Source organism: Homo sapiens, chromosome 17, assembly GCF_000001405.40.
Source record: "Homo sapiens chromosome 17, GRCh38.p14 Primary Assembly".
Classification (NCBI taxonomy): domain Eukaryota; kingdom Metazoa; phylum Chordata; class Mammalia; order Primates; family Hominidae; genus Homo; species Homo sapiens.
Window position 1 is genome coordinate 20,319,683 of NC_000017.11, and position 24,940 is coordinate 20,344,622.

General features: G+C 39.9%; 2 pseudogenes across 1 annotated transcript in view; both read left to right on the forward strand.

Moving 5' to 3' along the window:
* CCDC144CP (coiled-coil domain containing 144C, pseudogene) overlaps positions 1,492-24,940 on the forward strand; it is an 81,018-nt pseudogene continuing 57,569 nt past the window's right edge. The window contains exons 1-6 of the transcript NR_023380.1: positions 1,492-1,978; positions 4,501-4,571; positions 16,150-16,398; positions 18,475-18,548; positions 19,798-20,637; positions 22,676-22,812. The product of NR_023380.1 is annotated as a coiled-coil domain containing 144C, pseudogene (transcript). The remainder of the gene's footprint in view (positions 1,979-4,500; positions 4,572-16,149; positions 16,399-18,474; positions 18,549-19,797; positions 20,638-22,675; positions 22,813-24,940) is intronic.
* RNU6-467P (RNA, U6 small nuclear 467, pseudogene) lies at positions 3,319-3,428 on the forward strand (annotated as a pseudogene).

Here is a 24,940-nt window from a genome sequence, read left to right on the forward strand (position 1 = left end):
TACAGGTGGGAGCCACTGCGCCCGGCCACAGATATTTTGTAAATGATTGCTTCCTTACCCCTTCCTAGTTCATGTTTTCTTAAACATAGTTACATTTCTTCTTTGCTATACTAAAAATCCCTAATTTTAGTTGGTCAGAGAGAGGGATTTGAGACTGAGCTCCCATCTCCTCGGCTGCAGCATCTGATTAAAGCCTTCTTCCTTTGCAATACTCATCTCAGTGGTTGGCTTTCTGTGGGTGAGCAGCGCAGGATCTAGGCTGAAGCCCTGAGGCTTCAGTGACAAAATCTGTTTTTCATAATGCGATCTGTCTTAATTGTCCTCAAGAATTAGTATTTGAGTGCTCTCTAGATTCTTCTTTGTCACCCTTCCTTCCTTCCTTCCTTCCTTTCTTCCTTCTTTTCTTCTCTTTCCTTCGTTCTCTCCTGCCTTCTTTCTTTTTTTGAGACGGAGTCTTGCTCTGTCGCCCAGGCTGGAGTTTGGTGGCACGATATCAGCTCACTGCAACATCCACCTCCCGGGTTCAAGCGATTCTCCTGTCTCAGCCTCTGGAGTAGCTGGGACTACAGGCGCGCACCACCACGCCCAACTAATTTTTGTATTTTTAGTAGAGACAGGGTTTCACCATGTTGGCCAGGCTGGCCTCAAACTCCTGACCTCAAGTGATCTGCCCGCCTCAACCTCCCAAAGTGCTGGGATTACAGGTGTGAGCCACCGCGCCCGGCCGTCACTTTTCTTCAATCTCACTGGTGCTCGCGGGCTGAAGGGTCAGGACGGACTAGAGGCGAGCAATCCCGGTGGCACCAGGCATTCCCCGACCTGCCCGGGTCGCCAGCTGCACGGACCCTGGGCAGATGCGCGCAGCGGCTGCGGCACAGGGCGGGGAGCGGCTGCTCGGCCCCATCCTAAGGCAGCAGAATGCCCAGAGCTGGTCCCTGGCTCCAGGCGCAGGCCGAGTAGCAGCTGGGCGGGCAGCGGCGTCGGGCAGGCCCTTCCAGCCGGGCTGACAGGCCGCTCTGACCCAGCCATCAGACTCCGCTTGCGTCCTGGCAGCGCGGACCCTAGGGCAACTTCGCTGCAGTGGCCAAGCCGGGGGCGGAACTGGCCCATACCCCTGAACCGAGCAAGCCTAGGAGCAGGTGCGCCGGCGGCGCTGTGAAGCGGCACTCATGACAGGCAGGCTGGGCGCCGCCACCCCGAAACCTCCGAGGGAGGACCAGCCAGCCCAGGTTGGCGCTGGAGCTGCAGCGCCACCTGCAGGCCAAGAAGTCTTTTTCTGGGAGGCTGGAGCTGCAGCGCCACCTGCAGGCCAAGGAGTCTTTTTCTGGGAGGCTGGAGCTGCAGCGCGACGTGCAGGCCAAGGAGTCTTTTTCTGGGAGGCTGGAGCTGCAGTTGCAGTGAAGTCACAGGTTCCGTGACGTCACAGGTGGGCAGGCGCACTAGTCTGTAACGGATTGGCTTGGCCTTACCCGCGAGGCTTTGCAGTGGCTGCTTGGCTTGGCAGTGGTCGCTTGGCTTGGCGTGGCAGTGATCGCTTGGCTTGGCATTTCTGGCTTAGCGGTCCTCCTTTCGCAGATTGGAAACCGCGGGCTATCCTGCTGGGAGGTTGTGGCCGAGGCAGTAGCTCGCTACTGATGGTCTCCTGGGGTGGAGAAAAGCGGGGAGGGGCTGAGGGGTCTCCGAAGCCGGCAGTCTACGCCACGAGGAAAACCGGTAGCGTCAGGAGCCAGGAGGACCAGTGGTACTTGGGCTACCCGGGGGACCAGTGGTCCTCGGGCTTCTCCTACAGCTGGTGGAAAAACAGCGTCGGCAGCGAGAGCAAGCACGGTGAGGGCGCCTTAGACCAGCCCCAGCACGATGTCCGCCTGGAAGATCTTGGCGAGCTCCACAGAGCTGCCCGGTCGGGCGACGTCCCTGGGGTGGAGCACGTCTTGGTTCCTGGAGACACTGGCGTGGACAAGAGGGATAGGAAGAAGAGGTAATGGCCAGGCGAAGGATGCGGGCGCGCCGTCCTGTCGGGGACACTGGCTTTCTGGTGCCCGCAGGCCCCACGGCACCCGGGATGGGGAAACGTCAGAGGGGTCAGGGGCCCAGGCCTCTTAGTGAGACGGGATCAAATATAAAGGATTATTACTATTGCAAAAGTGTTGGTCTACTTTACAGGAGTTTTCTTTAAAAATATTGCACTTCCCAACTGTGTTTATCCATTTTCTCAATTTATTCATCAAACATAAGGGCCGGGCGCGGTGGCTCACGCCTGTAATACCAGCACTTTGGGAGGCCGAGGCGGGCGGATCACGAGGTCAGGAGATCGAGACCACGGTGAAACCCCGTCTCTACTAAAAATACAAAAAATTAGCCGGGCGCAGTGGCGGGCGCCTGTAGTCCCAGCTACTCGGGAGGCTGAGGCAGGAGAATGGCGTGAACCCAGAAGGCGGAGCTTGCAGTGAGCGGAGATCGCGCCACAGCACTCCCGCCTGGGCGACAGAACGAGACTCCGTCTCAAAAAAAAAAAAAAAAAAACATAAACTGAATACCTATTATACAGCAGACATATTCTACTGTCGCTCAGGTTCCTTCCATCCTTAAGAACTTCATGTTGGCCGGGCTCGGTGGCTCATGCCTGTAATCCCAGCACTTTGGGAGGCCGAGGAGGGCAGATCACGAGGTCAGAAGTTCGAGACCAGCCTGACCGACATGGTGAAACCCCGCATGTTATGCTTTTGTCTCAGCCTAGACTTAGCTAAAACCTTCATGACAAATTATCCTTTAGGCCCTCGGGGTTCAGTTCAAATAATGTTGCAGAAAGAGATGAGTTTCCTTTTCTCATTGCTACCAGATCTGTATGCTGAGGACCCTTTTCTTAGATCGTGGAATGTCCCATATTATCCTTTCCCAGATTTGTGGCAGGAAGCCATCACCAGAATTCTGAGTCTCAAGCATGTTAGTTGGATTTAACAGAGCTAAGTCTCATCCATGACTCATGAATATCCATGTATAAAATGAGAGCTTTGGCAGGGTGCAGTGGCTCATGCCTGTAATCCCAGCAATTTGGGAGGCTAAGGTGGGCGGATCACGAGGTCAGGTGATTGAGAGCATCCTGGCTAACACGGTGAAACCCCGTCACTACTAAAAAATACAAAAAAAAATAGCCGGGCGTGGTGGTGGGTGCCTGTAGTCCCAGCTACTCAGGAGGCTAAGGCAGGAGAATGGCATGAACCCGGGAGGCGGAGCTTGCAGTGAGCCGAGATCGCGCCACTGCACTCCAGCCTGGGTGACAGAGCGAGACTCAGTCTAAAACAAACAAACAAACAAAACTTGCTTCAGCAGCAAACATATACTAAAATTGGAACAAAATGGAGAGAAATTAGCATGGCCCCTGCCTGCATAAGGATGATGCACAGATTTTTGAAGTGGTCCATATTTTGCGCAGTCACTAGAAGTTCATTTGACTATTTGCTGACTAGTTCCAAAGACAGTGTGAGTCAAAGCAAACTGGGTATCACCTAATATTAAAATTGTGATTTTTCACTACAAAAATATGCAGTAAGGTGATCAATGGAGCTGAGTAACACGTGGGATGTTGTGTGCAAATATATTGTCAGTATGTATCTCAGAAATGAGAGAATGTCAACTTGCATGTCTTTCATGGAACTGAAAAAAAAAAGTAGAATTTTGTTTTCCATGTCAGTTGGAGATGAACATGGGGATTGAGCATCCTTCTAACAAAGATCTGCCGATTCAGAGTTTGAGTCTGTATGGAACAGTAGTCCAAGCTAGGTCTTGACATCTATTAGCTTTCTCCCCTTGGCGTGATTGATGAGCTCAGTAATAGTGGACAGTGTTGCTATCTAGTTTGATGAAATAATATATTTATAAGTAAATTTAGTTACAAACTATGAACTAGCTGTGATGCCCCAAATTATAAGCCACAAAGAATAGAACTAATAAAACTAGAACTTAATAACAGTTTTGGAAAACTGCAACATTTGAATATTAGAACCTCTGGAAAAAATACACATTGGGTTTTATTTGTGATTCCAAAACCATTTCCGCAATAAAGCTCAAGAACAAATTATTTCATTGCTTCACTGTTTCTCTGAGCATTTACAAAACGTTTTCTTGTTAAATCTTTAACAACCTAGTGAAATAAGGCAGTAAAATCCGTGCTTTTTAGAAGAATACATTGAGCCTAAGAGAAGCAACTTGTCAGAGAATAAATAGCTGCTGGTAATAGAGCTAGGATGCTTTCCATTATGCCAAGCTAATGTGAGTTAATTTACTGAACTATACTCCCTTCAATTCATGAGTACTTCATCTTTTTTTCTTCTTCAGAAGCTTAAAGAGAAGTTGGTAGAACTCACAAATTGAAGTATATGGGATAATTAAAGTTCTGATATTAACTCTGATATTGTTTGAAATACTCTAAAAATTTAATATATTTGGTATTTTTCATTTGTTTTAAAATAGTAATTTCATTTATTACATTTTTATCCATAGCATTCAGCAACTAGTTCCTGAATATAAGGAAAAACAGACACCTGAAAGTCTTCCTCAAAATAACAATCCAGGTAAGACTTCTGATAGTGAATTATTTTTGGTGGTCCTACCATAGGTAAAAAAGAAGTAAGAGTCAGGAAGTTTTGATCATGAAAGAGCAGTTTTAAAAAATCTTTATTTCTTTGTTGATAGGTTAGATTTCTTGGTAGGTTAGATGTCACAATTATTTAAAAAGTTAATTATAGGTCATTTATTTTTTCAAACAATCTGGTCTGAAAAAAAATTAATTATAGTCCCTAAAATCCTATGTGATATTTTTGTATAAATAAGAAAAAGATTTTTTTTTTTTTTTGAGACAGAGTCTCGCTGTTGCCCAGGCTGGAGTGCAGTGGCACGATCTCGGCTCACTGCAGGCTCCACCCCCTGGGGTTCATGCCATTCTCTTGCCTCAGCCTGCAGAGTAGCTGGGACTACAGGCGCCCGCCACCCCGCCTGGCTAATTTTTTGTATTTTTAGTAGAGACGGGGTTTCACCATGTTAGCCAGGATGGTCTCGATCTCCTGACCTCGTGATCCATCTGCCTCGACCTCCCAAAGTGCTGGGATTACAGGCGTGAGCCACCGCGCCCGGCCAAGAAAAAGATATTTTTGAGTTAGTAAGTTGTATGTTTTCTTTATAGTCACATTATAATGAATTAGACTTATTATGAAATTGGAACTTCTATTTAATTTTTAAAATAAATGACTTATGTTTAGTAAATGAATATCAATCACAATTGACCCTTAACAATGTGGAATTTAGGGATGCTTGATTCCCTCTGCAGTCAAACATCTGTGTATAACTTTTGACTCCCCCAAGAACGTAACTACTAATAGCTAACTGTTGACCAGCAGCCTTATTGATAACATAAATAGTCAATTAAGATATGTTTGGTATGGTATATGTATTAATATGCTGTATTCTTACAATAAAGGAAGCTAGGAAAATAAACTGTTAAGAAAATCATAAGGCAGAAAAAATACGCTTACTGTTCATTAAATGCAAGTGGATCATTATATAACTCTTCATCATAGTCTTCAAGTTGAGCAGGCTAAGGAGAAGGAGGAAGAGGAAGATTGGTCTTCGCTGTCTCAGGTGGTAGAAGTGGGAGAAAATCTGCTCATAAGTAGACCCCTGCAGTTCAAATCCGTGTTGTTCAAAGGCTAACTATATTACATAGTGATTTGTGTCACTAAAAGAAATTAGTTTCAAAACTGGAAACTCAGCAATACCTTTCTGGCACCATAAACAAATAGCAATAAGAACTGTGAAATGGCCAGGTGTGCTGCCCACACCTGTAGTCCCAGCAAGTTGGGAGGCCTAGGTGGGAGGATCGCTTGTGTCCAGAAGTTCCAGACCAGCCTGGGTGACATAGTGAGACCACATCTCTACAAAAGCAAATACAAAATTAGCTGGGTGTTTTGGTGCACACCTGTAATCCCAGCTACTTGGGAGACTGAGATGGGAGGATCGCTTGAGCCTGGGAGTCAAGGCTGTAGTGAGCTGTGATCATGATCACAACCTGGATGACAGAGTGAGACCCTGTCTCAGAAAAAAACAAAAACAAAAACACAAACAAAACCCTGCCAAACATACCCAATGTGCACTAATACTAATGGGAAATTATTTTTCAAAGATACCTTCTGAGTGCAGAAGTCAGAAAAGCAATTCCTTGTTGAGAAGAACAGGTCATGTTACATACTTATAAACCAACAAGGTGTCGCTATTATTGACTTTCCCCCAATTTGAAATCGAATGAGGTATATTTACTTCATTAGAACAAGATGTGTTTTTCTACCTGCTGGTTAATTGCTATGTTAACAGTAATTTTGTTAGAACAAGATATGCAGTTACCATTAGCCAAAAGATTATCATAATAAATATTCAAATAGCCCAACTCTAGGCTCAACAAATTATAATGAAAGTATAAAAATGTTTCACAATAACAAAAAATGCTTCTGTGCTTCCAAGATGTTATGCCTAATGCATTGGACAATCTGAACTGTAAGAGGACACCTTTAATTTAGTACATATTAATCAAAGAACTTCTCTAAGTTAGGTTTTGCACGTTATGGGAGACAAACATGAAATAGACATAGTTTTGGTCTTTGAGGTGCTCATAATAGAATAGAGCTTTCTCTATTTAATTTCTGTGTTTTTTTCAACAGAATTTTCAAGGAAATCATTTATTCATTTGTCCACTTCACAAATAATTATCAAATGTCTTTTAGTACTAAGCATTTTTTTTCTAATGTTACAGAATACAGACATTTAAAAATACTGTTGGGGCCAGCACAGTGGTGCATGCCTGTAATCTCACCACTTTGGGAGGCTGAGATGGGAGGATCACTTGAGCCCAGAAGTTCGAGACCAGCCCGGGCAACATGACAAGACCTCATCTCTACTAAATTTTTAAAAAAACAATAAAACATTAGCTGGGCATGGTGCCAGGTGCCTGTACTTCCAGCTACTTGGGAGGCTGAGGTGGGAGGATTGCTTGAGCCTGGGTGTTTGAGGCTACAGTGAGCTATGATCATGCCACTGCACTCGTGTCTGGGTAACAGAGTGAGACCCTGTCTCAAAAAAGAAAAAAAACAAACCAACAAAACCCAGGAGCTTGTTATTATCATTGTCACTTTAATTATTTGATGAATTATTTATTCAGTGCCTACTACTGTGTTAGATGCCCTCTGGAACCGTATAGTGATCATTTATTATGTTAAATATGTGCCAGACACTTTATGTGGTGAGGAATGAAAGCTGTAAAAAAGTGAGTAAGATTTAAGGTAGGCATGAAGAGTGAGTAGAACTTTTCTAGGTAAAGAGGCAGAAGGATGATGTGGGCAGAAGATTGTGTGTTTCACAGAAGGAGCAGCGAGTGCAAAAGTAAGATGCTTGAGTGAACTTTGCAGGGTTTATGAGCAGTTCAGTTTTGCCAGTGCAAAACATATGAGATGTGAATGGTTGGGAATGAAGTGAATACCTAAGGCAAGCTCATGACAGACTTTTTTTTGAGACAGAGTCTCACTCTGTCACCCAGGCTGGAGTGCAGTGGCGTTCTCTTGGCTCACTGCAACCTCCGCCTCCTGAGTTCAAGTGATTCTCGTGCCTCAGCCTCCCAGGTAGCTGGGATTACAGGCGCCAGCCACCATGCCCAGCTGATTTTTGTATTTTCAGTAGAGACAGGGTTTCGGCATGTTTGACAGGCTGGTCTCAAACTCCTGACCTCAAGTGATCCACCCACCTTGGCCTCTCAAGTGCTGGGATTACAGACGTGAGCCACCACTCCCTGCCCAGACTTTTTAATACTATAGAAATGAGTAGATCTCGGGCCGGGCATGGTGGCTTATGCCTATAATCCCAGCATTTTGGGAGGCCAAGGAGGGCAGATCACAAGGTCAGGAGATTGAGACCATCCTGGCCAACATGGTGAAACCTGTCTCTACTAAAAATACACATGAAAAATTAGCTGGACATGGTGGAGCGTGCCTATGGTCCCAGCTACTCAGGAGGCTGAGGCAGGAGAATCACTTGAACCTTGGAGGCAGAGGCTGCAGTGAGCCAAGATCGCACCACTGCACTGCAGCCTGAGTGACAGAGCAAGACTCTGTCTCAAAAAAAAAAAAGAAAGAAAAGAAAAAGAAAAAAAGAAATGAGTAGAACTTTTCCTGTAGGCCATGGGAAATTTACCAGGTGGAATGCATTGGGCTGTAAATACTAGGTGACCTAACTAACAATGGCTAAAACAGTAGGGACCAGAGTTATTTTGATGGTTCAGTGATAACACGATGTTTTGTTCATGTCTGTTTTCATGGCTGACTAATTAGCAACAGCTCCAAACATCATGGTCTCACCGACAATATCTGAAGGCTGAAAGGGTGGCTTTTCTTTACATGTTTCTTTTAGTTAGGGAGAAGACTCAGAAGGGTGCAGTTGACTTCCTGTAACATTTTATTGGCTGGGTCCTACCACATGCTCATTCCTAAACCAGGCACTGGGGAAGCAAATGTAATTACTATGATGAGCTTAGAATAATCATTTCTTCTTTTGGAGTGGGGAGGGCTATTGGCATGATAAATATCCAAATAGATTCGTGTTTCTCCAGCAAGACAGAACAGGGAATCGCTATTGGGTAGGGAGACAGCAATGTTTACTGTAGGAACACATTGGAGTGGGGAGTCACATGATTAGATTTGAGTATTAGGGCAATCTGGTTATGGTATAAAGCAGGGATTGGCAAGCATTTTCTGTACAGGGCTTTTTCATGTGGTCTGTCATTCCTACTCAACCCTACCATTGAAGTATGAAAACAGTCATAAAAAGGCAAGCAAATACACATGACTGAGCTCCGGTAAAACTTTATTTACAAAACTATAAGGCAGACTGGATTTGCTCCATGGCCTGTAGTTTGCTGACCCCTCATATGGAGAGCAGCTGGAAGATAACCACATAAAGAGACAGGGAAACAAAAGAAACATTTGCATTTATCAGAGCTATAGTTTCCTTGTGCTGTCCTCAGACTAGTGTCAGTCTGTTGTGAGGTTTTCACCCATCCATGGTGAAATCACTAAGGTTAAGGAGCTCAGTTATTCATTTAAAAATGTTGGTCTTTTTCTTGGCATGATGCCTTTTTCATTTATTTTACTTAAACTTTTTTTAATTTAAGAAATAACATTAATAGTTGTTTTTTCCCTATAAAAGCCACTACTTAAGAGCCCATGTTTAACTAGGAAATATAAACATAAAATAAACGTGTCACAGTGGAAATATAAAGCAGATGCAGAAAAGAGGTACAGTTAATATGATTTAGTGATTGTTGAATGTAAAAAGATAGGGGATAGGGAGAAATCTCAGATGATTCTCAGGTTTCTGGCTTGTGCCCTAGCATTTAACCTGGACACGAGGGAGTAGGCAGTTTTCAGGTGTATAGAGGAGAGCAGCAGGTCAGCAGTCACGACTAACAGTTTTCTCTGCATTGCTGAGTTTACTGAAATGTCCATGTGGGATATTTTCAGTAGGTAATTGGATAAATTTTTATGGCTGGAGATGGAGCTCTGAGGTTGGAGTTGCAGACTTGGAATAACTGAGGCAAAGTTGTAGATCTGAGTGAGCTTGTCCATGATGGGAAAGGTATAGAATGAGCAGAGGGCCAGTGACAGAACCCTGGGAATATCAGCATTTCCCAGAGGAATTAGGAAAGAAGCCTGAGCCGTGGCTAAAGAAAAAGAGGAGAGGAATCATAAAGTGATGTTGCAAAAATTTACAAAGGTGAGAATTTCAAGGAGGGAGTATCAATTCTAACCAGTAAGATTACTAAAAAGTAAAGTGAGTTAAGCTTTTAAAAGCCTTCAGTGGCACTGTCTTCTAAAGAACAATCATAGAGTTGTGGGGTTCGCTGTTTATGTGATCAGTACTTCTGATGTTCAAATGTGGAAGAATACACCTACCAAGATCCTACCTAACTTTTGTAACTGCAGCAGCTCCCTGTACAGGATCAGGGAAAATGGTCAAGACTGGTGAGTTAATGTACCACCATTTTCCTAGAATTGTCTAAACCTAAGGTCATATGTGAGGAAAAGTGTAGTCTTTCTTAACTGCTTTTTTGTGGAAATGCTTGTTTGGTACTCAAGTCCTTGATAGGCTCTTCTGAATGCATTCCCAAACAAACATCTGACAGCAACAACGGGAAGCCACCACCAGATACACGTATATATCCTTCCTCTGACATGGAATCATAATACAGCCATGTTGTGACACAATTTCAGGTTTTGATTAGAAATAGTTTACAGGCCAGCAGTTTAGACAAACTGACATTTTAAAAATATTTTATTGCAGGAAACTAATATAATGTCCTGGAGAAAAAAATAAAGTGAAATGCTGAATATACCAGTTCTCAGTACTTGGGGTTTTGGTCACATCAGGAGAAAAGTCAGTGCCTGACTCCTTTTGTTAGTGCAGTTCCCTTTTCATTTACCCTCTTGTGATATTTCTGCTCTTACTGCTTCCTTTTGAATTCCATTCCTAAAGAAAATACTATTAGAACACATTTCAAATGCACTTCTTTATATCTGCACCACAATGACACAATGATGATGGTCTGCCAAGATTTTAAGTGTCTTCTGGGTTGTCAAATACAAATTGTTTTATCTGACATAGTTTAAATGTGAAGTGCTTTTCTGGTATTACATTTCTTCAGAAATTGGTAATCTGTGATTTAACTAGAATATGTGGTCAATTGGATTACCACACTTTTAACCATCTATACATAAGATGTCTCTTCTCCCGGCCAGATAAGTTAAAAGTCCTGTTGATCCTTACTGATCAGTTCCACTATTTGCAGGGTTTTTTTGGACTTTTGTTGTTGTTGTTGTTGAGACGGAGTCTCGCTCTTCCACCCAGGCGGGACTGCAGTGGCGCTATCTCGGCTCACTGCAAGCTCCGCCTCCCGGGTTCACGCCATTCTCCTGCCTCAGCCTCCTGAGTAGCTGGGATTACAGGTGCCCGCCACCGCGCCTGGCTAAATTTTTGTATTTTTAGTAGGGACGAGGTTTCACCGTGTTAGCCAGGATGGTCTCGATCTCCTGACCTCGTGATCCACCCGCCTCGGCCTCCCAGAGTGCTGGGATTACAGGCGTGAGCCACCGCGCCCGGCCTGGACTTTTTTTTTGAACGGGTGTGATTATAGCACACTGCAGCTTTAGTTCCTAGCCTCAAGCAATTGTTCTGCCTCAGCCTCCTGAGTAGGTGGAACAACAGATGTGTGCTACTGCACCTGGCCTGCTGCACAATTATTATAAAAATGAATTAAATCCTACCTAGTGGGAGAAAATTGACTGTGATCTTATAATTTTTTGTTCCAGAAACTTTTATACTGTAGAATATATTGTCAGTCATTAAGATTTTCTATTTTTAATTGAGTTAAAATAGGATTGTTGCTTTTTAAAATTACTTTCTGACATCATTGTTTCATGCATTTTTAATGCCTTTAGTCCGGTGGATATAGAAGTACAGGAATCTCCAAGGCAAATGTCAAAAAAAAAAATAAGCAGATTAGGGAAAGGTATTCTGTGAAATTACCTTCTGATTGTAGTCACATGAAACACATCAACTTAAACAATAAAAAATTGTATAATGTAATTGTATCAGGGGTTCCCAAGACCCCCTTCACTGAGGTTTGGTAATTCACTGAGAAGGACTCACAGGACTCAGCAGATAGTCATACTTGGGGCTTTGATTTATTACATTTAATACAGCAAAAAGACACAAAGCAACATTTGAGAAAGGAAAAGGTGCATGTGTCAAAGTCTGGAGGAAGCCAGGCACAAGCTACAGGAGTCATCTCCTGTGTAGCTAGCAGGATATGCTTAATTCCCCCAGCCTCAAATTTTGACGACACATGTGCAATGTTGTCTACCTTACCAGAGTTTCATTAGAGGCTCAGCACCCATGTTTTCGATGGAGGCTAGTCACATAGGCAACCTCTCCTCTCCCTCACATGTAACAAAACTCTAGACTCCCAGGAGGAAATTAACTGTTCATAGTAAACCACATTTGCACAAACAGTTTAGGCACAGTGAGCCACTCCCTTCTTCTAAGTTAGGGAATGCTGGGAACCCTCCCAAATTCAAGGTCCCAAACACCAGCCAAGGACTAGCCTTGCAAGCAAGCCTTTCTAAGGATGGGTGTCTCATGCCTGCTATATGAAATCTTTGCTGCCCAGCAGCTATGCCCCTGAGTAAATTTTTGGTGTTATCTTAACATTTTATATAATACAATAGCAAATAATATGATAGACCATAACATGGTACTGGTTTCAGCTGCATCATTCATATTAAATAGCAAGGCTGCTTACAGTTTTGACATTTGGTGAATACTTAACAGGTATTGGTACATAAGTTACTATGGCAATATTAAGTAATTATAATCTGTCCTTCTTATCTGATTAACCTTTCAGTAAAATTGTGGGATAAAGTAGGCATAATAAGTTCTGATTTGAAATTAGAATAAAAATTGTCTTTCATTTTATTTTCATGGATGGACCAGTTTTGATTCATATTGTACTAAATCCCTGTTTACAATTATGAAATAAGATCAGATATTCAATCATTTTTGTGAATTTTTTTTGCCTAAGTATACAATTAAAATTAATTGCTTTATGTGTTTTTATATGCTTCAATTTGGGAGATAGTACTCGTATTCTGTTACCTTGATCTTTAGTGATTTGCAATTTTCAAGGTGACTCTGTCTTTTTATAATTTAGGGTAATAGCAAGTTCAGTGAGTATGTGCTTTAAAATTAATAATATTATTTTCTGAGCAGTTTTAGATTCACAGCAAAATTGAGAAGGTACAGAGATTTTCCATATTCCCCATGACCCCTGACATATGAATAGCCTCCCTCATTATCAGTACCCCCCATCAGAGTTCATCAGAGTTACAGTTGAGGAATCTACCTTGACAGACACATCACCCCCAAGGTCCACAGTCTACGTTAGGGTTCACTCTTGGTGTTGTACATTCTATGGTGTTGGACAAATGTGTGATGGCATGTATATACCCTTGTAGTATCACAGACAAAATAGTTTCACTGCCCTAAATATCCTCTGTCCTCCACTGTTTCGTCTCTTCCTCTCCACTGGTTTCTGGCAACCATTGGTCTTTTTGGTGTCTCAGTAGTTTTGCTTTTTCCAGACTAGTCATATAGTTGGAATAAAACAGTGGTGGATATCTTTTTGAATATTTAAACAATAAAGTTCCATGGTAATTTGATTCTGTCATTTTAGATGTTCTTTGTCCTTGCGTTTGTTTTCCTCATGTTGTGTTCATCAGAACAGGATCTGATGGCATATGATTTGACGTGCTGAGAAAGCGTGATTTCTGTAGACGTTTGCCATGTAACGGGGAGGGTGGGGAAAATGGCATCATGCAGTATTCCACAGCACTAACTGGACCATCATGCTCTAGGAGATGGGTCCAGATAGACTCTAGCGATGGGACGGGATAATCTCAAGAGCTGGACTTTATAAAACTAGAATCACAAAGTCTTGCATACTTACCTTGCACTTAAAAAGATCAGGCAGTGAACACTACAGGTGAATAAATATGTTCCTCTCTGGTTCTCTTCCTTTTAGGGATGAGCTTGAAAACAGTCTATATTATTAGAATATGGCTCATCTACAACTAAATGCTCTGTCATGGAAATGCCAGTGTTTTTCTTTACAATAAATGAAAAATAATTTTGTTTTCACCAGAGAGAGTAACAACTGTTGGCACATTCTGGCAGGTTGAGTGAGCTGATAGTTCTGTTCATATATATTTTTCATACCAGGTAGTATTCCCTGGCAACCTGCCACCACTGTGGCAGTGTTTCTTCTTAAGCTTCTCACTGAATGAATGGTGTGGCTCAGAGTGAATAAGCTCTTTAAGGGAGTGATCTTTCCAGTGGTTCTGTCCATAGGAGGTAAAATGGGAGGTGAATTTGAGCCTTGTTTGTACTAGGGAAAATAGCTAGAACTCAGTAAACATTGCCAGCATCTGCCCCAGAAGAGGATTAGTGAGAGTGAGTACATTGATCTCCCTTGAGCTCTTCTCCACTGGCAGCTGAAAAGTCTTTGCAAAGATCCTTATCCCTGGTCTCTTCCCTATGTTTTGCCACATAACACAGCACAGCACCCATAGACCTACATAACAAAATGTACAGTTTTCCCCCCTTATCCATGGGGGATATGTTCCAAGACCCCCAGTGAATGCCTGGAACTGTGGATAGTACTGAACCCTAGATATGCAATGTCAGGATAGAAGGAAGAGGATAAGAGCAAAAGGGGGAATAAAGAATGTGGAAGGCAGAGAGTACAGAGAGTAAATGAAGGGAAAAGAAGCAAGTGGATATGATGGAGGGTGGTAAAATGAGATAATACTTCAAAAGAAGAGTGGGGTATTAGAAAGGTGGAAAGAATATAAGGTGAACGTGCAGCACCAAAACTTATCAGATAAGACAAACTTTACTTGCCAATATGTTAGTTGTGCTTTAAGTTTAATTATTTCATCATAGTGTGGCTATACTGATGATTTTAAGCCAGTCAGATATTCTGGTCAGCAAATCATATGTGTGTGTGTTTTGATTATCAGAAATGAAGAAAGCAATTAATTACCCTTAATAACTATATGGTGGACACAGTCTTTTAAAACATTGATTCTGAAACTTTTTGGCCTGGGGTTCATTTTATATGATTAAATATTATTGCCTAGAGGTAACCAACACCCTGAATTAAGAATTTATTATGTCCATTCCCTTTTAAAACATTTTATTACATATGTGTATGGTCATAAATAATATGTAGAATTTGTTTTCATGTCCTAAAATTGTATATAAATTGTTTTACACTCTACATATTTTGCAACTTTCTTTTGTCTGGTCACATTACATTTTTGAGGTCAGTCCTTATTGACACAGGAAGCTCTGGTTTTCTATCAAATGACTGGATCTCAAACTCTCTTCATAATGATAAATAAATAATTAAAATAAAGAAAAATTATTGCAAATTCCAAAGAGCTTTTATTTAAGTCGGTTGTGTCTTTTGTTATTTACTATTTTAGAAATAAAAACTAAAATATTTTAAAAACAAGCATGCAGCCGGGCGTGGTGGCTCACGCCTGTAGTGCCAGCACTTTGGGAGGCCGAGGCGGGCGGATCACGAAGTCAGGAGATCGAGACGAGACCATCCTGGCTAACACGGTGAAACCCCGTCTCTACTAAAAATACAAAAAATTAGCCAGGCGTGGTGGAGGGCGCCGGTAGTCCCAGCTACTCGGGAGGCTGAGGCAGAGAATGGTGTGAACCCGGGAGGCGGAGCTTGCAGTGAGCCAAGATTGCGCCATTGCACTCCAGCCTGGGTGACAGAGCGAGACTCCGTCTCAAAAAATAAAAAAAAAAATTTAAATCCCAACAATTTTGTTTATATAGTAAAAAGGAAAATATTTTTGTTATGTATTCCTTTCCTGTCTCGTGGCACTGTGTGCTATTTGGACCTAGTGTGGTCCTAGACTAATCCTGTTCTCACATGGGAACAGTTAGAGCCCTTAACAGCTCTTATTTTGCAAATAAATGTATGAAATTTATCCAAGTATTTGAAAGGAAATTCTGAAGATAGTGGTGCATTGAGGAAAGACCATCTCATTATAATTAAAATAGTTTTAAAAGTATATTTATTATGAGTTTTTGTAAATCCTGTGTCTCTACAATACATACATACAATGCTGTCATGTATATTTAAGCTTAAAATGGTTAGACATAAATTCTGTTTTAAAAGATTTATATCCACGAAGAATCTTAATGGGAAGCAAAATATGTAATAGAGACTGCTGAGTGAATAAAAGTAAGTAATAGTAAACGGTAAAAATGTAGAAAAGTGAGAGATGATAGTTAATTAAACTTACCTGAATGAATTGTAAGCATAGGACATGTAAAATGTAATAATCCTGAATGCATAGTGTGTTGTGGGAGAGAGCAGGATGTGGGACTGTTTCTGTGAAGAAAGCATGTATACAAGTTAGTCAAATTATTGTGTTATTTACATCCTAAAAATGAAAACTTCATTTTCGGATTTTTCAGATTGGCATCCTACTAATTTGACCCTTAGTGATGAGACTTGTCAGAGATCCAAGAATCTGAAAGTTGATGATAAATGTCCATCTGTATCACCATCAATGCCTGAAAATCAGTCAGCAACCAAAGAACTGGGACAGATGAACTTAACAGAACGAGAAAAGATGGACACTGGGGTTGTACTTCTCTCAGGGAATGATACTCTCCATGACCTGTGCCAATCACAGCTACCAGAAAACAAAGAGAGCAAAGAAGGTAACAAAGAAGCATAGAGAATTCAGTCCTAGAGTGCCTCTGCTTGGCTGCATAGAGCTATAGTTCTGACTTAAAAAAACTTTTTCTGGTAAAATGTGCTTTGTGTTTACTCACCTTTTGCACTGAACAGAATACCTTTTGGCAGGATATTTGTGTTCTTCCTTTAACCAAAGCAACATCTAGATAACAGAGAATTAGGGGAAAGCAGGATTTTCTTTAGGAAGTAGGATTATATTTAGAATATAGGGACTAAGTATGTTTAGGGACTAACATAGGATTATATTTAGGATAACTTAGTAGAGACCTAAAGATTGCTGACTCAAACACAATGTGGTTTCTTTGCTTTATTTTTACAGCTCTGAATTCACAGCTGTTAGTTATAACTATATGCACTATAATTTAAAAGACACCTTCCCACACCTGCAATCTCAGCACTTTAGGAGGCCGAGGTGGGTGGATCACGAGGTCAGTAGTTCGAGACCAGCCTGGCCAATATGGTGAAACCCCATCTCTACTAAAAATACAAAAAAAACTAGCCAGGCATGGTGGTGAATGCCTGTAGTCCCAGCTACTCAGGAGGCTGAAGCAGGAGAATCGCTGGAACCCAGAAGGTGGAGGTTGCAGTGAGCCGAGATTGCGCCACTGCACTCCAACCCGGGCAATAGAGGAAGACTCCGTCTCAAAAAACAAAAACAAAAACAAAAAAACACCTTCCAAAAGCAAATATTAAGTGACTTCCTATCGTTTCTATGACTTTATGTATTATAGAATTGACTTTCCAAGTCAGTAATTAATGAGACTTATTGAGAATTTGCTGCATAGTATCTCCTTGGCTGTGTCCACATGAGCTACCACCTTGCGTTAATAAATGTGTTCGCTAGGGATGTTGGTTTTGGCATTGACAGTGTTCTATCACCAATGCAAATAAGACCAGGGACCACTCTTGAGAACATTAATGTCCAAGCATCTTAAAGTTATACGTAAGGCTTTCATAATGTGATTCTGCTCAGCTCTCCATCTTTAGCCCTTTCCCCCGTGTGCCCCTTCTCTGGCCTTACTGAACTGCTGGTCCTGTCCTGCTGACCCATCCTTCGACTGCAGGCAAACACATACACTCTTTCAGGCCTCTTTCTGCCTTTTGTTGCTGCCTGTCATGCTCTCACTCTTTCCTGTCCCCTACCCCTTCTAATTAGGCTAGCCTCACTCTTTAAGCCTCAGCTCGGGCAGGATCTCTAGAAAAGTCATCTCTGACATGCTTTCTTTTCACTCTTTAAATCCTAGTGCCTAGCACATAGCAAGACTCAATACATAATTGCTGAGTAAAATAGATAATGACTCTTTGTACAAAGATGATTTTCAAGATTGTTCCCTACAGTCAAGGAGCAGAGGGAATAGACATGTAAAGCAATAATTGACAATTCGGGTGGTGGAGATGCAGTAGAAAAATCAGTAAAGTTCTAGGGCAGCCCTAAGGAAGGAGATACCTAGATACCTGTTTACCTGGGGAAAGATGAGGATGAGGGTCAACTTCACCTAGCAGTCTGTTTTTTATTTTATGTATTTTATTTATTTATTTTTAGCAGTCTGTTTTAAAAGATGAAAATATTAATACATTTGTCAGAATAATACAGGGAACCATTTCGGATGTTAGGAAGAGGTTGTACACCAATAAAGGTGTCCACAGTCATTTTGGAAATCATTAATAAGGTACTATTATGAAATGGAGAACAGTATGCAGCATTGCCTGATAATATTGCTACTGCATTCCAAAATTTTGTTTTGTTTGTGATGGCTTTGTTCATTGATGTTGGGTGGATGAATCTGTGAGTGAATCTTCAACATGATTGTATTTCTTTAACCTGGTGGCATCTAGTGTCTCCCAGAAAGTGGTTTGTTGAAGTTTTGGAGAATTAGAATTATTTCTTAAAGAAGTAAGTATTCCACTAAAGATCAAGCTTCATTTAAACTCTCAATTTATGAAATAAAATGAAATGTAATTTAAAATCTATTTTTATAAAGACTATGTCTTTTATCTAACTGTTCTAAGTAGTTTAACTGAACGTTTGGATTTTGCAGCAGAACAAGACTTGGAGCTGACATCAGAGGAAGAGCAAGAAAGACTTAAAGGATGCGAAAATAAGCAGCCACAAGTGTGGAAACATTTAAACTAAAATCTAAATTTCTGGTTTAATACTCTTTTCTTTGCTTTAATATGCTAGCCCAAATGAAATTACCTCTCAGACTAGCCTTTGAGAATCAATAGATCCTTACTTAATATTTAATTTTAAATACATTTAAACTAGTTATAAAACACAATATTGTTAGAATCTATCATAACTTATAGTTAATCTTTACCCTTGGAGTAGAGGCAAACATTCCAGAATTTTGTTTGCTCTTCCATTCTTACAATATCCTTATGGGATAAAGAAGGTAATGTCAATTATTGACTTATATTATTAAGCAACAGAAATTATGAACAATTTAACAGTGATGGCCACTAAGTTGGATTCATGGTATAGGAGTAATCATGGCCAGTGGCTCAAATTTTGCAGTTTTATATTGCCAGTTACTAATGCCTAGGTTAAAGATGTGGCCTTTCATTGACTTCACGGTCTACATTCAGTGAGAGTGGGGTTATGAAATCAACCCAACTGCCTATTAAGGGAATCATACCTTGCAGAATGGGATCTTTGGTGTTAGGGTACAAACAATAACTTTCTAACTTTTTAGATGCAGAAACTTAGTAAGAATTATCTTTAAAGTTTTAGTTAGTGTTATTAGGGGACCGTAGTATATATTAGAACTGAACTGAAGAAGATAGTCTAGATATATAACCCTATGATGTTACAGTATATAATTTGAATTAAAACTTAAGAATTTGCTTTTGTTTCTGATTGGTGTTGATTCGGGCTCCTAATAATTTGAAGATTGCCTACCCTCCAGTTAGTAATCTATAGAACTTACATGTAGTAATATATAGTACTTACATGTAGTAATATGTAGTACTTACATGTACTGTAGGGGCTCACTTTTCAAGTGAGGAAGCCTTTGTAACACTAGAAATCATCTGCTAATTCATTTTTGGTAGATTTAACACATAATGAATTAAGTTTATTCCAAACAAACAGTGACAAAGTTAAGTTTGCTGGTTCATATTTTTCTCCTCCTTTCAGCTAAGACAATTTTTTTTAACTTCTTAGTTACAAGCCAGTGATTTGGGAGTAGCCAAACCTAGATGAAGAAGTTTAACAGTTAAATTTTCATTTTAATTATTTGTGAATTTTTCTTTGTTTATACCTGTTATTTAAGGACAAAGCTATTTTTAAAACATGTAGCCCAACAGAGAAGACACCCAAGAAACAAAACAAGCAAATTAATCTTCCACTTTTGCATCTGCAGAAAACGTCTCAAGAACCAGAAATGGCTAAGGATTGTGATAGAGAGGATATACCTATATATCCAGTACTTCCTCATGTGCAAAAATCTGAGGAAATGCGGATTGAACAAGGCAAATTAGAGTGGAAAAACCAATTAAAACTCGTCATAAATGAGTTAAAGCAGAGGTTTGGTGAAATTTATGAAAAATACAAAATTCCGGCTTGTCCTGAGGAAGAGCCACTACTTGATAACTCTACAAGAGGAACAGATGTGAAGGATATTCCCTTTAATTTGACAAATAACATACCTGGTTGTGAGGAAGAAGATGCATCTGAAATATCTGTCTCAGTGGTATTCGAGACATTTCCTGAACAAAAAGAACCCAGTCTCAAAAATATCATCCATTCATACTACCATCCGTACTCTGGGTCCCAGGAACATGTTTGCCAGTCATCTTCTAAGCTTCATTTACATGAAAATAAATTAGACTGCGACAATGATAACAAACCAGGCATTGGACATATTTTTAGTACAGATAAGAACTTTCATAATGATGCAAGCACTAAGAAAGCAAGGAACCCAGAAGTGGTTACGGTTGAAATGAAAGAAGACCAAGAGTTTGATTTGCAAATGACAAAAAATATGAACCAAAATAGTGACAGTGGCAGTACAAATAACTATAAAAGCCTGAAACCTAAATTAGAAAATCTGAGTTCTTTACCACCAGATTCTGACAGAACATCAGAAGTATATCTACATGAAGAATTACAGCAAGACATGCAAAAGTTTAAGAATGAGGTCAACACATTAGAAGAAGAGTTCCTGGCTTTGAAGAAAGAAAATGTTCAACTTCATAAAGAGGTAGGGTTTTACTTGCTGCCACTCTTTGTTTTTTCTCTCAATTATCTGGTCCATTCTGATTTTCCACTTAGGAAAAGCATATGAAAATCATACAGTTTGGTTGTCTAAATCTGTAATTGTGTGTAGAAACAGATGATTTCTAAGTAATAGGAGTTTAGGAAAACTTTCTCATAATCTTTGTTTCTTAATTGACCTAAGTCTCTCTGTCAGTCTTCCAAGTGGCGTATGGATTGTGAAACTCATGTAGCCATATATCATGTGACCTTCAGAACCAGGAGAGGCGTCAAGAAAATTGCTAAAGGAAATGTGATGAGCTTGAGGGCTTTTTCCTTTTACCGACTTAAAGATGAGTTGTGTCTAACAATAAGATGGGAATACAGTAGAAAGGAAGCAATGACTAAGAAGAGATATAAAAATGTATCTAGCAGGCGTGGTGGCAAACACCTGTAGTCTCAGCTACTAGGGAGCCTAAGGCAGGAGGATCATTTGAGGCCAGGCATTCTGGGCCGTAGTGTGCTATGCCGATCAGGTGTTCACACTAAGTTCGGCATCAATATGGTGACCTCCTGGGAGCGGGGCACCACCAGATTTGCTAAAGAAGGGTGAACCAGCCCAGGTCGGAAATGGAGCAGGTCATAAGTAACTCCTGTGCTGATCAGTAGTGGGATCGTGCCTGTGAATAGCTACTGCATTCCAGCCTGGGCAACATAGTGAGACCTCATCTCTTACTAAAAAAAGAAAAGAAAAGAAAAAGAAAGTATCCAGCCCTGAGAGCTGCAGCAAATATTCCTGGCCAATGAATCTGTTTATTGTGCTTTTCAGGTTTATCTGTTTAACTCAAACTGTTGGAACTTAGAATTGCATCATGACCACTTTAAATATTTTTCAACAACAAGTATATACACTTTAATATATTTGTTAATATAACTACTCTCCACTGTTTCTGTTGAATCAGACCTTTATGTTATGTTGCTTAATAAAGTACAGTAAGTTTTGGCACATATATTTTTTCCATGTAAGTAGCATAAATGCTCAGCCAAACACTTAGTATATGATGCCAAAGTAGAAAGCTGAGTCTTCTACATTGATTAGGGCAGGCCTCCCACCCTCCTCTAAGGCATTAAATTATTTTACCCAAGTCACACTTTTAACCTATCTGATTACTTTGCTGAATTTGTCTGATTCAGCATTATGGAATTGTACTGTCTCTTTTGGTGCCACAAAATGCTAGGTAATGGCACTTCAGGGGCTTTGGATCAATCATTTTAATCTTTTTTGGCTTTAGCCCAGTTATCAATAGAGAGTGAGCTAAAGTAGATTCTTATACTGTATATCCTCCAGCTATAAACTTTTATGGCTATTGAATGTGAAATTTGGGGAGCATCTCATTTCGAGAATTCCACCCTAGCTCAGCAGTTTCACTCTGCTTTTTGTGTTGTGCCAGACTTGTATTTCAGTAAGCACCTTCACCTTTTCGATATCCCAGGATTCAAATGAAAAAAAAAAAAAAAAAAAAGACAAAAGTTAGTGGGGGAAAAGAATAGCTTAGTGCAGAAAAGGGAAAGCTTCCTTTCTTTTCCTAAAACCCCACAGTGTTGTATCCTCTCAATCTGGCTGTTGAATATGAAAGTCAAGTGGCAAAGACAGAAGAAGACATGCTTTGTGTCTTTATCTTCTTATTTCCATGTTTGTGCCAGTCAAATGAGGTAAAAATTCATAATACATAGTGAAGGGTGGTTGGGAATAAAAGCACAAAATTAAGACGGGCCCTGGTTGAAATTTTGGGAAATTCTGTCTCATTCATTGAAACAGAAATGAAGCTGACTTTACAAAAATGTTGATGATAAAATTATAATAATTATAATTATATGATGATAGTTCCAGATGTGATAAAATTAAAGTAAGCACCAAATATTTTAATGACTAAAATTATAATTAAACTGAGTCAAGTGATGATGAAATCAATGAAAACAGAAAAAAGTTCTTTGTATTGAATAAAGCAATAACAATCATCCTGAACATCAAACTCTCACTCAAGGTTGAAGAAGAAATGGAGAAGCACAGAAGTAATAGCACAGAATTATCAGGAACCCTAACTGATGGTACTACTGTTGGCAATGATGATGATGGACTAAATCAGCAGATTCCTAGGAAGGAAAATGGAGAGCATGACAGGTAAGCCTATAGCAGCGTTTAACAGGAGACAATTGGTCAAGTGTGGTGGCTCACGCCTGTAATCCAGCAATTTGGGAGGCCAAGGTGGGTGAATCACCTGAGGTCAGGAGTTCAAGACCAGCCTGACCAACATGGATAAACCCCATCTCTACTAAAAATACAAAATTAGCCAGGTGTAGTGGTGCATGCCTGTAATCCCAGTTACTCAGGAGGCTGAGGCAAGAGAATCGTTTGAACCTGGGAGGCGGGGGTTGTGGTGAGCCATGATCATGCCATTGCACTCGAGCCTGGGCAACAAGAGTAAAACTCCATTTCAAAAAAAAAAAAAAAAGCAAAAACAGAAACAAAAACAAAAAACAGGAGACAATTATGTGCTATGAAATGAATCCTAATTTGGGCTAATATTCATGATGAACAGATTTTATACTTTTACTAGGATATTCAGCCTTCCTTGGTTATCAGAAAAATGCAAACTAACAATGAGACACCATGTTTTCCAATCATATTGATATTTTATTTAAAAAATAGGAAGTATTGGCAAATGTGAAGAAAAAGGCGTTTTCATACACTTGTTAAATGAAATTGATGAATCCTTTTTGCAGGGTAATTTAGTAGCATGTATCAAAATTTCAAATATGTCACTTCTTTAACCTAACAACTTCACTTTTGGGACAAGATCCTACAGGAAAATATGACTTGTGTAAACACATACACATATGTGTTAAGGACATTTATTACATGTATGTAACATACAATAGGCTAATAGGTTAAATATATATAATGTTAAGTATATATGATATATATGTTAAGGATAATTATATATGTTACATATATACTTATGTATAAGGATATTTATTATAGCATTGTAATATCAAGAAGTTGGAGATAGTCTAAATCCTTAGCAATAAGGAAATAGTACAATTGTCATACCCAGAAAATAATGTAGCATGCACTCATTTTAATAAAAGAAGTTGTTAGACCAGGAGTGTACTGATTATTTCACAATTAAAGTCTATTTAAAGCCTTTAGTTTGATGACACATCTTAAGCCAGTTTTGTTGGAATTCTCATAATATCTGCTGAGTTACAAAAGGAAGCTAGCTACATGCTACATTGACACTGTACCTTGTTAGCAACAGAATTCTAGTTATTAAATTTTTGTTTTTTGCTGTCAATGTGTGAGTGCTGAAATACCAGATCCTCAAATTAATCTGAATATTGCCAAGGGATTGCACATGGGGATTCATGTTCCGTGTCAGCTTTTCAATATACTGGGTAAAACTTACTAAAATACAACAGAGGATCTTAGCTCTACTGAACCAAGAATTGGACAGCTCTTTTTGTAAAGAGCCAGTTAGTAAATATTTTAGGCCTTGTGAATTATAAAGGGCATAAGTGTGGCTGCATTTCAAGGAAATTTCCTTATGAAAACAGGCAGTGGGCTGGATTTGCTCCACAAGCACCAATTTGTTGATCCTTGTGCTAAAACCAAGGTGCTGTTATGCAGTGAATCCTCTTTTTAAAGGTACCCTACATGCATGCCATTATCCTTTCTTTTAAAAGATAATGTATTTCAGTAGGAAACACACCATATTTTTCAACAGTAGCTTCATATAATTTAGACAAATTTGATTTACAAAATAAGATGATTTTCTGCACTTGTCCCCTTTTATTCTTGTTATAGAATTCCATATTTTGACTATTACTTTGTATATTTGATGAGTATAAAATATTCTAGAGTTAGATGATTTTTATCAAGCAAGAAATACTTCTCCTGAAACTGTTAGTCTTCCTTGGTCTTTATGTATAAGCATGAGCAAAATGATAATCAGCTTATATAATCTAGAAATGTTCAAGAGGTCTTTTGGTCTTATAAGTTAATGAATTTTTATTTAATACCTTCATCTGGCATTTCAAAAATGCCATATAGATATGATTTAAAAAAAACTTTTAAAGGGTAAAAATATAGCATATAGTTATATAAGAATTGAAAAATACAGCTAAACAAGAAGAAAATTAGATCATCTACAGTCATGCCCCTAGGTATGCTGGCCTTGAAAGAATGGTTTATACTCATGGATTCAGATTTCTTGTCCATTCACTCTTGAGCTGATACCAGTAATTTTCAC